The 13,414-nt window shown below is 40.3% G+C and overlaps 1 protein-coding gene across 7 annotated transcripts in view, besides 1 other annotated feature; it reads right to left on the bottom strand.

The window, feature by feature from the left end:
* Positions 1 to 13,414, bottom strand: part of MVB12B (multivesicular body subunit 12B) — a 180,212-nt gene that overhangs the window by 148,533 nt on the left and 18,265 nt on the right. The window lies entirely within an intron of this gene.
* Positions 10,807 to 11,767: an enhancer, noted in NCBI's record as "H3K27ac-H3K4me1 hESC enhancer chr9:129109020-129109980 (GRCh37/hg19 assembly coordinates)". NCBI's record gives its function as "activates a minimal SCP1, AML or CMV promoter by ChIP-STARR-seq in primed H9 embryonic stem cells {active_cell/tissue: H9 hESC(primed)}" and the evidence as "EXISTENCE:reporter gene assay evidence [ECO:0000049][PMID:30033119]".

Below are 13,414 nucleotides of genomic sequence, written 5' to 3'. Positions count from 1 at the left end.
CTAAAACTAAAAGACTGCTGAGAGAAATTAAAGAGGACTTACATAAATGAAGAGATGTACCACATCCATGGATCTGAAGACTTAATATTGTTAAGATGTCAACTACCTGCGAATTGACCCACACATTTAATACAACTCCAATCAAAATCCCAGAAGGCTTTTTTTTTTTGTAAAAATTGACATGCTTATTCTTAAATTTGTATTAAAATTTGAAGGACCTAGAACGACCAAAATAACTTTGAAAAAGAATAAAGTTAAAAGACTACCTGGTGTTAAGAATTATTACAAAGCTACAGTAATCAAAGAGTATGGGTTTGGCATACAGGCAGACTTATAGATCAATGGAATAAAACAGAGTCTAGCAATGTGCCTATACATCTACGATCAGCTGATTTTTGACATAAGTGCCAAAGTAATTCAATGAAGAACAGATGATTTTTAAAGAAAGGGTACTAGAACAATTGGACAGCTATATATAAAAAATGATATTTGATCCATATATCATATCACATATAACCATTAACTTGAAATACATCATTGATCTAAATATAACAACTAAAACCATAAAACTTCCAGAAGGGATTAGAAGGAAAAATCTTGACCTTAGGGCTAGCAAAGATTTAGTAAATGTAACACAAAAAGCACTAACTATAAAAGAAAAAAAATAAACTAGACTTCATCAAATTTTAAAACTTTTGCTTTTCAAAAATACTGTTAAGAAAATGAAAAGGCAAGCTACAGACTGGGAGAAAATAGTTCATACATATCCAACAAAGGAATTGTACTTAAAATATACAAAGAACCCTTTCAACTGAATAAGACAAATAACCCAGTGAAAAGCAGGTAAAAAATTTGAACAGATGCTTCACCAAAGAAGTTATACTAATGGCAAAAAAAAAAAAGCTCAAAATCATTACTTGTTAGAGAAATGCAAACTAAAATCATAAACAAATACACATCCACTAGAATGGTTAAGATTAAAAGAATGACTATCTCAAGTGTTGGCAAGGATGTGGAAGAACTGAGACTCAGATGCTCGGCTGCTGGGATATAAAATGATACAACCACTTGGAAAATAATTTGGCAGTTTCTTTTAAAGTTAAACATGCATCTACTGTGCAATCCAACCCTTCCACTCCTAGGTATTTATCCATAGGAAATGAATGTGTATGTCCACACACAGACTTGCATATGCATGTTCACAGCAGCTTTACTTTAATAGCCCAAACTGGAAACAAGCCAAATAACCCTCAACAGGTAAACTGTCATACAGGTGTACAACAGAGCACTACTCATTAAACAAACAAACAAGGACACACTCAACAATATGAATGAATCTCAAGATCATTATTCTGAGAGGAAAAAAGCCAGACAAAATAAAGAATTTACATAAAGTTCTAGAAAATGCAACCTAGACTACAGTGACAGAAAGTAAGTAGACCAACGGTTTCCTAGAAGTGGGGTTGGGGGAGTGATGGCTTGTATTAGGCCATTCTTGCATTGCTAGTCTCAGGGAATACCTGAAACTAGGTAATTTATAAAGACAAGGGGTTTAATTGGCTCATGGTTCTACAGCCTATACAAGCATGGCACCGGCATCTGCTTGGCTTCTGGGGGGCCTTAGGGAGCTTTTACTCATGGAGGAAGGTGAAGTGGGAGCAGGCATGTGACATGGCCAGAGCAGGAGCAGCAGTGAGAGAATGAAGGCAGGTGCCACACAGTTTTAAATGATCAGGTCTCTCGAGAACTCTCTCTCTCAAGGACAGCACCCAAAGGGAATGCTAAACCATGAGAAATCCGCCCTCGTGATCCAATCACCTCCCACCAGGCCCTACTTCTACCACGGGGGATTACATTTCAACATGAGATACAGGGTGACAAAATACCCAAACTAAATCAGGGATGCATTGTAAAAGGGTAGGAGGAACCTTTTAGGGGTGATGAACATGTTCATTATCTTAACTGTGATGATGGTGTCCCAGACATTTACATACATACTCCAAAACTCATCAAATCATACACTCTAAATATATGCAGTCTATTGTATGTCAATTATAAAGCTATCAAAAAAATCCATGCGCAACAGAAACCAAACACGTACGTACAATAACAGAAATGACAAAACATCTGTGGGATACTTTAAAACTTAACTAAGAAGTACCAAAACAAGACCTAAGTACCCAAATCATGCTCCCAGATAGGAAAACTCAGTATTGCAAATATGTCGAATCCCTTCAAATCAACTTATTACCCACTGCAATTGCACTGAGGATCAAAACATAGTATTTTGTGCAATTTGACGAGTTGAATCTAAAGTTCTTTTAGAAAAAATAACATGTGGTAGTAACCAAAACAATTTTGAAAAAGAGGAGAAGGAAGGAAATAGTTCTAGCAGACATTAAAATATATTCTAAAAACCTTGAAAACATGACTCTAAGTGAAAGAAGCCAAACAAAAAAGGTCACATCTTATATGATTCCATTTATATGGAATATCCAGAATAGGCAAACCCATAGCAACAGAACACAGATTGGTGGTTGCCAGAGGAAGGCAGCGAAGGGAGAATGAGGAGCAACTTTTAATGGGTACAGGATTTCCTTTTGGGGTGATAAAAATGTTTTGGAACTAGATAGAGGTGGTGGTTGTTCAACATTATAAATGTACTAAATGCCACTAAATTGTTCACTTTAAAATGGTTAATTTTATGTTACTTTACCTCAGTTTTTAGAAAATCAACAATTTGCTAACTTCAAAAACGATGCTATAAACCTGCAATCACTGAAACAGTGGGCTATTGTAGAAGAATAGGTTAAATTGATTAATTAAAGAGAATGCGGCCTAAAAACATTCTGGAAAATCCCTCTCTTTGGGGCCCAAGCAAATGCCACCCGACAACAAGATTTCTTCCTGTGGTCAGCAGGCTGCTTCCTAAATCATTTGAAGCCAGCAGGCCTTAAGTTATAAGCAAGATGTTGCAACGCCCTCATAATGCAGTACTTTAAATTTAAGCAGAAAAGTAGCGTTGAATGTTAAGGGCATGATTTGCTGTTAGTGGTATGACTTGACCTAACCTGAGTATTGTTTATGCCCCTGGCCCTGGGCCTGCTGCAGTGTAGCTGCTGTTATATCTACTACAACCTCTATGCACGTGGGCCTCACATCCCAGCCTGAAGGGCAAAGCCCACCCAGCATTTCCGCAGACCCCTAGGATGGGGCTTCCAGGATCAGCCCCTCACCTGCTAGCTGGAGTCTGGCTTGGGGTCATCAGGGGTCAGAAGGAGGTGGTAATAAAGTTTATTTCTTTTTCCCCTATGTCCTGTATTCCCTGCATAAGGGCCCTATATTAAGGAAAAAGAAGCTGCCGTGGGTTTCATCTGTGGGATAGGAAACGAGCGTTCTAATCAGCATAAATCTGTGCATATGCAAAGACCTCTAGCATATGACAAATGCAGCTCATCAAAACCACAGGGAGAAGACAGTGTTCAGAAAATAGCTACACAATTGGAAAAAAATAAGTTAGACTCCACTTTATACTCCACTCCAAAATAAAAATCTGATGTTTAAAAAGCCAAATCAATAAAATAGACGGTATATTAGCTGAAAATCGATGATATTTCTATTATCCTGAGGTAGTCAGGCTTTTTTGTTTCTAATTTTTTTAAGTTTTTATGTAAAAATAATTTCATATTTCAAGATCGGCTACAAAAATAATGCAAATAATTCCTATATACCCTGTCCCCAGATTCCCTAAAATGTTAACATTACTATGTTTGCTTCCCCTTCTTTCTCTGTATTTATATATGTATACATTGCATTCCCACGCATGTGTGTATATATGTGTTTTCATATCCATGTGGTCATTTACATGCTGTGTCCTTCTCAGTGTAGCATATCAGCAGGCACATGACATCTAATTGTCTCATTACTGGTAATGTTAACTTGGATCACTCGCTTACAGTGGTATCTGCTGGGTTTCCCCACTTTTATTCCTTTGTAATTAACAACTATTTTGTGGAAGATACTCTGAGACTCTGTAAATACACTGTTTCTCATAAAAATATCACCTCCTAGTTTTAGCATCTAGACAGGTCTTTTAAAGAATTAAGACCAAACAAATCATAACAATCATAAAGAAAGAAAGAAAAAGATTGACAGATATGATTACATAAAAACGAAACAAAACTTTGATAAGAGGAACAAACATATCAACAAAATGTGATACTATGAACAAGACTGAAAGATTGACAGTCCGAGAGAAAAATATCTGTAACATATATAACAGGCAAAGAACCAATACACAGAATATATAAGGGAAGCCTAGAAACCAGGAAGAGAAAGCCAGCCATATGAGCCAGCTACAAAAACTGGAAACTGACAGTCAAATGCAAAAGGCCAAGAAACATGAAAAGATGCTCAGCCTTATTGCTAATCACAGAACTGCACATTCGCAAAATGAGCTCCTAGTTTTGAAAAGTAATAAAAAGACTGACAATAAAGGGTAATGGTATGGACAAGGGTAAATAGCTATTTGGATATACTGTTTACTAGGAGTATATATAAATTGGTGAAGTATTTTTGAAAAGCTACCTGGTATAGTAATTACTGAAATTTAAAATGTACACATCCTTTGATCCACCAGCACACACCCAGAGATGTATGAATGGGAATACTCATCATCAGCATTGCTTTTCACAGACCAAAAAGAAAAATCTAAATTTTTATCAGCAGCACAGTGGTTACTAAGTTATTCTACAGTAGGGAAACATACCAGTAGAAGAATAGAGGCTGAGTGACATGTCATGACATGGAGAGACTTCTTACATATAATGTTAAGGGAAAAAGAAAAGTCAAGGCACACTATGTACTGCATAAGAATACATAATAATAACACTAAGGTAACAGCCACAACACTCACGCTACTGCCAGTCACTGTTAAATACATTACAAACATTAGCTAATTTAATCCTCAACACAATTCTATGAGGAAAGTCCTGCTATTAATCCTCACTTTTGAGACAAGACAACTGAGGCACTAAGAGGTAAAGTAACTTAACCAAGGTCACCATCAAACTATAGGGCCTCTCTCTATAAATAGGTATTTGCAGATTTGTGGGAAAAGGATTGGAGGGATACAGACCAAACTGTTAACGATAATTACCTCTGGGAAAGGGAAGGTGACAGTGCTTTATTGCTTGAATCTTTTACAGTGAGAGTGTATTTATACAGTATAATACTTGCACTATTAAAACAAAACAATACTTTACAAAGACATGAATGAATGAATGACAGAAGTGAGCTGACAGATTCCCTGGATGTCTGCCTACTTCAAGAACCAGAACAGATCCTTCCTTCCAGTCTCATCTCCCCTTCCTGGAGACATCTCATGGACTCTTCTCTTCTTCAGTAGTCTCCACCTTTCAATACTGCTCACCAGCCACAATCCTCATCTCCAGCCACATCTCCTCTTCCTGATTTGCATAATCCCTCCTGCAAACAGCCTTTTAATACTATAAATCTGGACTACGAAAATTGAGAAAGATGGCTCCGCAGCATTTTGAGTCTTCCATACTTTAAGGAGTAACTAGCAAGTATTTTACAAGCACACAATAGCATACTTCCTGCCTATATATATAATATTAAGGCTGAAACATAAATGTTTTGGAAAGATTTATGACAGGCTTAGAAATAAACAGATTCTCTGGCTAACTCTGAATTAACATAAAATTAAAGCAAGCCAGTACTTCCACTTCCAGGAATATGGAGTAAATATACTTTTCCCTAATCTTCCCAGTAAGTACAACTAAAAAAACTGGAAATTATACCAAACAAACACCAGAAGACTCTGAAAGGTGAAATAATCCGTCTGACCAGCTAGGGATCTCATGACCCAGGGAACAACATGGTGGTGAGTTCTGTGGTTTTCTTTCTGCCTCATATATCCCAGACTTGAAGCTAAAGAAATCAGCAACCCAGAAACAGCAGTAAACACAAACCAAAAACCAAAGAAACAAACAAACAAAAACAACAGAAGCCTGCTTTCTCTAGTCAGGGGGCAGCCTAGCAAGAGGGAAGATGTTTAGACAATAATTGCTCTACCCCAGCCAAATGCCACATAAAATACTGTGGCCCCACACCCACCCATGCCAACAAAGCCAGAGTAAGGATCCCAGACTTCCACATCTAAACATCTAAAAAATAATTAATACTAATTCTACACTGTCTCTTCCAGAAAACAGAAGAGGATGGAACACTTTCCAATTCATTTTATGAATCTAGTATTACCAAGCCAGACAGACAGTATACAAAAAGAAAACTACAGATCAATATCCCTCATAAATACAAACACAACATTTTTTTCTTTCTTTTTCAGACATCTGTAACAGCCAAAAAAAATTCTTAACAATCTGTTATCAAAGAGAATTCAGCAATAAATAGAAAGAATTATATACCATGACCAAGTGAAATTTATTCCAGGGATGCAAGGCTGGTTTAATATTCAAAAACCAATCTATTTAATCCACCATGTTAACAAGCTTTAAAGGAAAAAAAAAATCACATGATCATATTAATTGATACAGGAAAGGCATCTGACAAAATTCCATACCTATTCATGATAAAAACTCTCAGAAAAACAGGAATGGAAAGGAACTCCCTCAACTTGATAAACAGTACCTACCAAAACACCTTCAGCTAATATTATACTTAAGAGTGAAAGACTGGGGCCAGGCACGGTGGCTCAAGCCTGTAATCCCAGCACTTTGGGAGGCCAAGGCAGGTGGATCACAAGGTCAGGACTTTGAGAACAGCCTGGCCAACATGGTGAAACCCCATCTCTACTAAAAGTACAAAAATTAGCTGGGCATGGTGGCACATGCCTGTTAATCGCAGCTACTTTGGGGGCTGAGGCAGGAGAACTGCTTGAACCCAGAAAGTGCAGGTTGCAGTGAGCTGAGATCGCACCACTGCACTCCAGTTTAGGCAGCAAAGCAAGACTCAGTCTCAAAAAAAAAAAAAAAAAAAAAAAGAGTGAAAGACTGAATGTTTTCCACCTATGATCAGCAATAAGGCAAGAAGGTCTACTCTCTCACAGGTAACATAGTGCTAGATGTTCTATCCTTTGCAATAAGGCAAGAAAAAGAAATAAAAGGCATACAGATGGGAAAGAAAAAAGGATGAGATTGTTGTCCAGGTGGAAAATCACAAGGAATCATAAGAAAAAAACAAAACCAAAAACCTAGAACTAATAGTGAGTGCAGCAAGGTCACAGGATGTAAGATAAACCTATAAAAATTAACTGAATTTCTATATAACAGCAATGAACATGTGAACATCAAAATTAAAAGTACAATTCCATTTATAATTGCTCAAAATCTAAAAATAAATATTTAGGCTCAAATCTACCAAAACATTATAGAGCTTGTTTGCTGAAAACTACAAAACGCTGGCGAAAGAAATGAAAGAAGAACTAATAAATGAAGAGACATACTATGTTCATGAATTGGAATACTCAACATAGTGGGGATGTGAATCCTCCTCAAATTGATATGCAGATTTAACATCAATTGCCATTAAAACCCCAACAAGTTTTTTGTAGATATAGGCAAGATTATTTTAAGATTATATGGACAAATAACTGGAATAGCTAAAATCATTTTGGAAAGGAGAATAAAGTAGAAGGAATCATTCTACCTGCTATAGTTTGAACGTCCCCTCAAAAAATCCTGTGGATACTTAATCCCCATTGTAGCAGTATTGAGAGGTGGGGCCTTTAAGAGGTGATTGGATCATGAGGGCTCATTCATTGGATTAATGGATTGATTGGTTATCATGGGAGCAGAACTGGTGGCTTTATAAAAAGAGGAAGAGATCTGAGCTAGCATGTTAGCACTCTGAGTCTCCTCGCCATGAGATGACCTGCACTGTTTTGGGACTCTGCTGAATCTTCACCAAGCAAGAAGGCCCTCACCAGATGTGCCTCTTGAACTTGGACTTCCCAGCCTCCAGAAATTAAGGAAAAAATGGATCACAGACGTAAGTGTTAATGTAAAACTATAAAAGTTGTAGGAGAAAACAGGAGATAATCTTCAGGATCTAGAGCTAGGCAGAGAGTTCTCAGACTTGACACCAAAACATGATTCACAGATAGAAAAAGTAATAAATTGGACTTCATCAAAATTAAAAACATTTGCTCTGTGAAAGGCCCTGTTAAGATGAAAAGGCAGGTAAAGACTAGGAGAAATATTTGGAAACCACATATCCAACAAAGGACTCATAGCTAGAATACACAAAGAGCTCTTAAAACTCAACAGTAAAAAAAACAAACAATCCAATGAGAAAATGAGTAAAGGGCATGAAGAAATTTTCATGGAAGACATACAGATGGCAAATAAGCACATGAAAAGATGTTCAACATCATTCATTAACCACTAGGGAAATACAGTGTGAAACCAAATGAATTATCACTATGCACGTGTCAGAATGGCTAAAACAAAAAAATACTGACGATAACAAATGCTGGAAAAGATGTCGAGAAACTGGATCCTCATATATTCATTACAGCTACACCAAAAAGTAGTTTAACATTTTATTTAAAAACTAAACATGCAACTACCATGTGACCCAGCAAATGCATTCCTGGATATTTATCCCAGAGGAATAAAAACACAGCCACATGAAAGCCTTCACCTGAGTATTTATAGCAACTTTATTCATAATGGCTCCAGAATGAAAACAACCAAGATGTCCTTCAATGGGTAAATGGTTAAACAAATTGTGGGATATCCAAACCATGGAATACTATTTATCAGTAAAAAGAAATAAACTATTAACCCACACAATAGACTCTCTGCATGAATCTCAGGAGAATTATGCTGAGTTTTTTTTAAAAGCCAATTCCAAAAGGTGACATACTATAATTCCGTTTATATAAGATTCTTCAAATGCCAGAATTATAGAAATGGAGAACAGATTAGTGGCTATCAAGGGTTAAGGAGAAGGTGGTAGTATAAGGGAAGTGAGTGTAGCTATAAAACGACAACATGAAAGATCCTTATGGTGATAGAAATTGTATTTTGGCAGGTTTTTTCTATATTTTATGAGGCTTTGATATCCTGAGGTCTTGCAGAAGCAGGGAGGGACTGCCCCTCCTAGGTGAATGACTTGCTTGTGTGCATGCCTTGGATATGCAAACCAACCAATACTGAGTTCTTATCTCCATCTGCCTGCTTTCACGGGCTCTTGCAGTCCAGGACACGATTCCCCTGCCCTAAATCACCCCAGGGCCAGGTACCTGACAATGAGGGACTCACCCATGTACCCCAGGACCTGCCAAAATTATTCAAACTTAATCAATCCTAACTGTGCTCACCCTGCTTGACACTGCCCTTCCTGGCTCGTTTCTCCCTGGCTCTCTGTGCTTCCTGACACACCCCACGCTTCCCCACCTATGTTTCCCCACCTGTGCTTCCCCAGGTGGCCCTACAGGGTGTGGCCTGTCTGCTCCTCTTGGGAACTGCGAGTAATAATCTTTCCAGTGGCAATCCTCTCCTCATTTATTGGCCACATCATATATGAATAAAAACAAAAACCTGGGCACGTTTTAAAACAGAAATGTTCTGTATTAATGTACTGTATTAATGTCAGTATCCTGGTTGTAACATTGTACTAGTCTGCAAGACTTTACCATTGGTGGGGGGTAAACAGGATCTCTCTGTAGTACTTCCTACAACTGCATGTGAGTCTACCATTGTCTCAAAATAAAAAGTTTAACTGAAAAAAAAGAAAGAAAAATTAAAGCAAGCGCCTCGTCTTTTTTCAACCATCCAATTAATTGACGTTTCATTATTAGAAGGCTTTTTAAATAGGGAATTAGGAAGTTTTAGCAAACAGAAGGAAGTACCAGAACACTGCCTGTTCCCTACCACTTTCCAAATGAATCAACTACGGAACAAGTCATTAGCGGGAACTTTGGGTCAAAACGAAAAATTCATGGTTAGCAGGGAAGGGAAGCCTAGAAGAAAACAAGACCAGCTCCTCTGCAACCAGGTGCTTTAAGCCACTATTTCTAAGAGGATCACCTAACGATAGCTGATGTTTGCCTCCTGCACACCTCGTGGATGCCAGCACTGTGCTAAGTGTGCCACGTGCATTCTCTCAGACCACAGCTCTGCTCCCTTGGGGCCAGGGTGCGGCAGGACAAAGGGGAATGTGGAGGGAAGGACCTTAAAAGAGGTTTGCTAATCCAGGCCACAGGGAACAAAGGCCCAGGGCTAGTTACAAAAACCACTTTCCGCATTTCAGTAAATCTCAGCTTAATGTATTTTCTAACAAAACAAAAAGGAGGAACACCTGGTGCCTTTTATCAAAACAAGCTCTGGTTTTGAAAATAAACCAATCTGTGTGGCAGGACTCAAAGTCTGTGGTTATTTCTGCAGTTAGTAGCCCCACGATAGCAAAGCCCTGTGCTCAGGAAGCTGGGACAGCAAGAACAAGCTGCTGCCCTTGTTTCCTCATTGGCTTCATGGAGGCAGAGTTCCAGGAGGGGCAACTAACTGCCTGAGGCTTTGGGCTGCCGCTATCCTCCAGCCCATGGAGAACGAGGGCAATTTTCCTGCCCCCTGAAAGGCCCCCCACCACAGCTTCGGCTTTCTGAAAATCCATGTGACAGCTGTGCTCAGACGGGATATGCCAATGTCCCACATTTCCACTTGATATCTGCCATATGTTTTTAACAAGATATAGTTGCCATCTTCACATGTTTTTCATAACGTGATTTTTAAAAATTCCTTGAGCACTATATAAAAATGCAAGCTTGTTTGAACTTGTATCACCATTGAGATTCTTTTTCCTTCTCTTACTTTAGTAAGTAAAAGAATAGGACCTCATTTGGAGGTTTGGGATTTTAAACTTATCCCTCCCTATGTTCCCTATACCCAGCCCACTGGCCCAGAGAGAAGCAGACCTCTCCTAGGACCCCCATAGTCCCGCATATTTGCATTCAAGCATTTGAAACTCCAAGTATTCAGGAAATTCCTACTACGTTTTGGGCATATATAAATTATACAGGTCCAGTTGTTTTTTTAAAAAAGGTTCTTTTGTCTAATTAGTTTCAGAAATAAATAGTGTTGAGAGAAAGAGACATGGGGGGAGGCAGGAGCAGCAAAAAAGGGGAAGTGGAGACTCCCAGGGCAGCTGGCCCATGTGCTGCCCGCACAGGCCGAGCCCAAGGCTGGCTTCCCAGCGTGCAGGGGCAGGACAGGGCAAGGGCTAAAGAAACATGACCCGGTGCCCCTCTCAGACTGGGCTCTGGGTCCCAACTCCTCTGCCCCCTCAAGGGCCCTGCCTCATCAGCCAGCCCCTCTCTCCTGTATCTACACCCCTCCCTTTCTTTGGTTCCTTCTCATCAGTAACTAGACACATTCGACACTTTCCTACCTTTAACAAAGGGAGTCATGGCATCCTCTAGCTGGGGTCATGGCATCCTCTAGCTCCCGCTATGCCCTGGCCTCCCCTCTTCAAAGGCCATCTGCACTCTCAACCTCTCGTTGTCACCTCCCACTTACCTTGCAGGTCCACTCTAACCTTGCTTCTGAGCTTGCCACCAAGTTCACAACCATCTCCTTGCATTAAACCCAATGGACACCCTTCAGGCTCCTTTCACTTCGGCAACTTTGAACATTACTCACCACTCCTTCTTACAGAAATACACTTTTCCCCTTAGTTTTCTTTAATTTTCCACCTACCTCTCCAGATGCTCAGGCTTAGTCCCCTTTTGAGTGCCTCCTCTTCTACCCATCCTTAACCAGTGACCCTCCACGGTAGTGGAGTCTGAAATGGCACACCCTCTCTTCTAGTCCCACAACCCTCCCTAGACAAGCCCACTTATGCCCGCAGTCCTTGCTATATGAGGATGGTGCTCAGACCTCTCTCCAGACCTTCAGCCCCAGGGCTCCGCTAGATGTCATACAAGCAGCTCAAACTCAAGGTGTTCAAAACTGACCCAAGAGTCTCCCTCCCGCCTCCACCCGACCTGGCTGTCTCTGCTCCTGTCCCAGCAGAGAACCCCAGCATCTACCCATGGCCAGCAAGACATCCTGTGGCACTCTCATCCTTCCCCTTCCTCCCTACTCCCCCACCTCCCAACATTCAACCCATTCTTGCCATCAAAAATACATATTTGGGTTCCCACGTCCCACGCTCCCACAGCCCCAGGATCCACGTACTGCTTCACATGTCCATTGTCAATAGCCTGGCGCAGGCTCTAGCTCTCACTCTGCACGAATTCACAGCCTCCACACACGCCCACCTGCCTCACTGCTTATCCTCCCCCGAAGGGTTTTCCGTGCCAACCAAGTGATCTTGGGAAAACACACATCTGTCTAAGAGCCTCTTTTTTCTTAAAATCTCCCAGTGACTCCCACCACCCTCAGAATAATTGCAAATTCCTTAGCGTGGCTATGATCTGGTCTCACCCACCTGCCCATCCTCATCTCTCACCTCTCACCTGATGGAGCCCAGCCTTCTCAGGATACTGGATTTCCAGTGCCTTGGACAATAGCTAAGTGGCCAATAAACATTTGTGAAACCAATGAGCAAATAAATAAATGAATGAGTAATGGTCAGAAAAAGTTTCACTAAGGGGCTATGTAACCTGGATTTTAAGGATGAGAAAAGTTTTACTTAAAAGTTGGGGGACTGGGTATAGGCATTTCAGAAACATGAAGAAAGAGGGTTTAAAGGTACAATGGTACAAAGTTCCTGCTTATTCTGGATGTGAGAAAGTGAGCCGTTCAATGGTTCTGGAGAAAGGATGAGCAGAAGGAAGTAAGACTGTAAGATACACTGAAATCATGAAGCCAAATCAAAGAATTTGGATTTTTATCCTATAGGTGGTTATCAGAGAGACCTCCTGGGGAGTGGCTCCTTGCCTGCCACTGAAACCTATGCTTATTATCATCAGGCCTTTGCTCTTCTAGATATGCCCGAAGGTGCAAAGCACCCTTCAGGCAGGAACTCTGATGCAGGGCCCTCCAGGGGACTGAGGCCCACTAACGCCTGGGAATCCCTTACCTGGACTTTCAGAAAGAGTCACGGAGCCTGAGGCTGATCTGTCACTTCAGGGTTACTTTGCCAGAAAGACTCCTGTGTGTTGGGTGGGATTTCTCCAGAAGAGAATGGAGGAGGTCTTAAATTGGAGTGAGAAAAAAGAATAAAATATCTCCTAGTCTAAGACCAGGATGCAGTTTAGCCTGGCTGCTAAGGTGTGGCAGCTCTCAATGCTTTTCTGAGGTAGGCAAGATGAAGGCAGCCAACAGCAAGACACAGGGCTGGCTAGGAAGAGGTCTGAGCATGGACCTGGACCCCCACCACAGCTGTCAAGATCCTCTGAGTTTTAATATCTCACTCCCATTATCCC

The sequence above is a fragment of the Homo sapiens genome, chromosome 9 (genome assembly GCF_000001405.40).
Source record: "Homo sapiens chromosome 9, GRCh38.p14 Primary Assembly".
In the NCBI taxonomy this organism is placed as follows: Eukaryota; Metazoa; Chordata; class Mammalia; order Primates; family Hominidae; genus Homo; species Homo sapiens.
The sequence above is the reverse complement of the archived record's forward strand: the minus strand, read 5'-3'. Positions and strand labels throughout refer to the sequence as shown.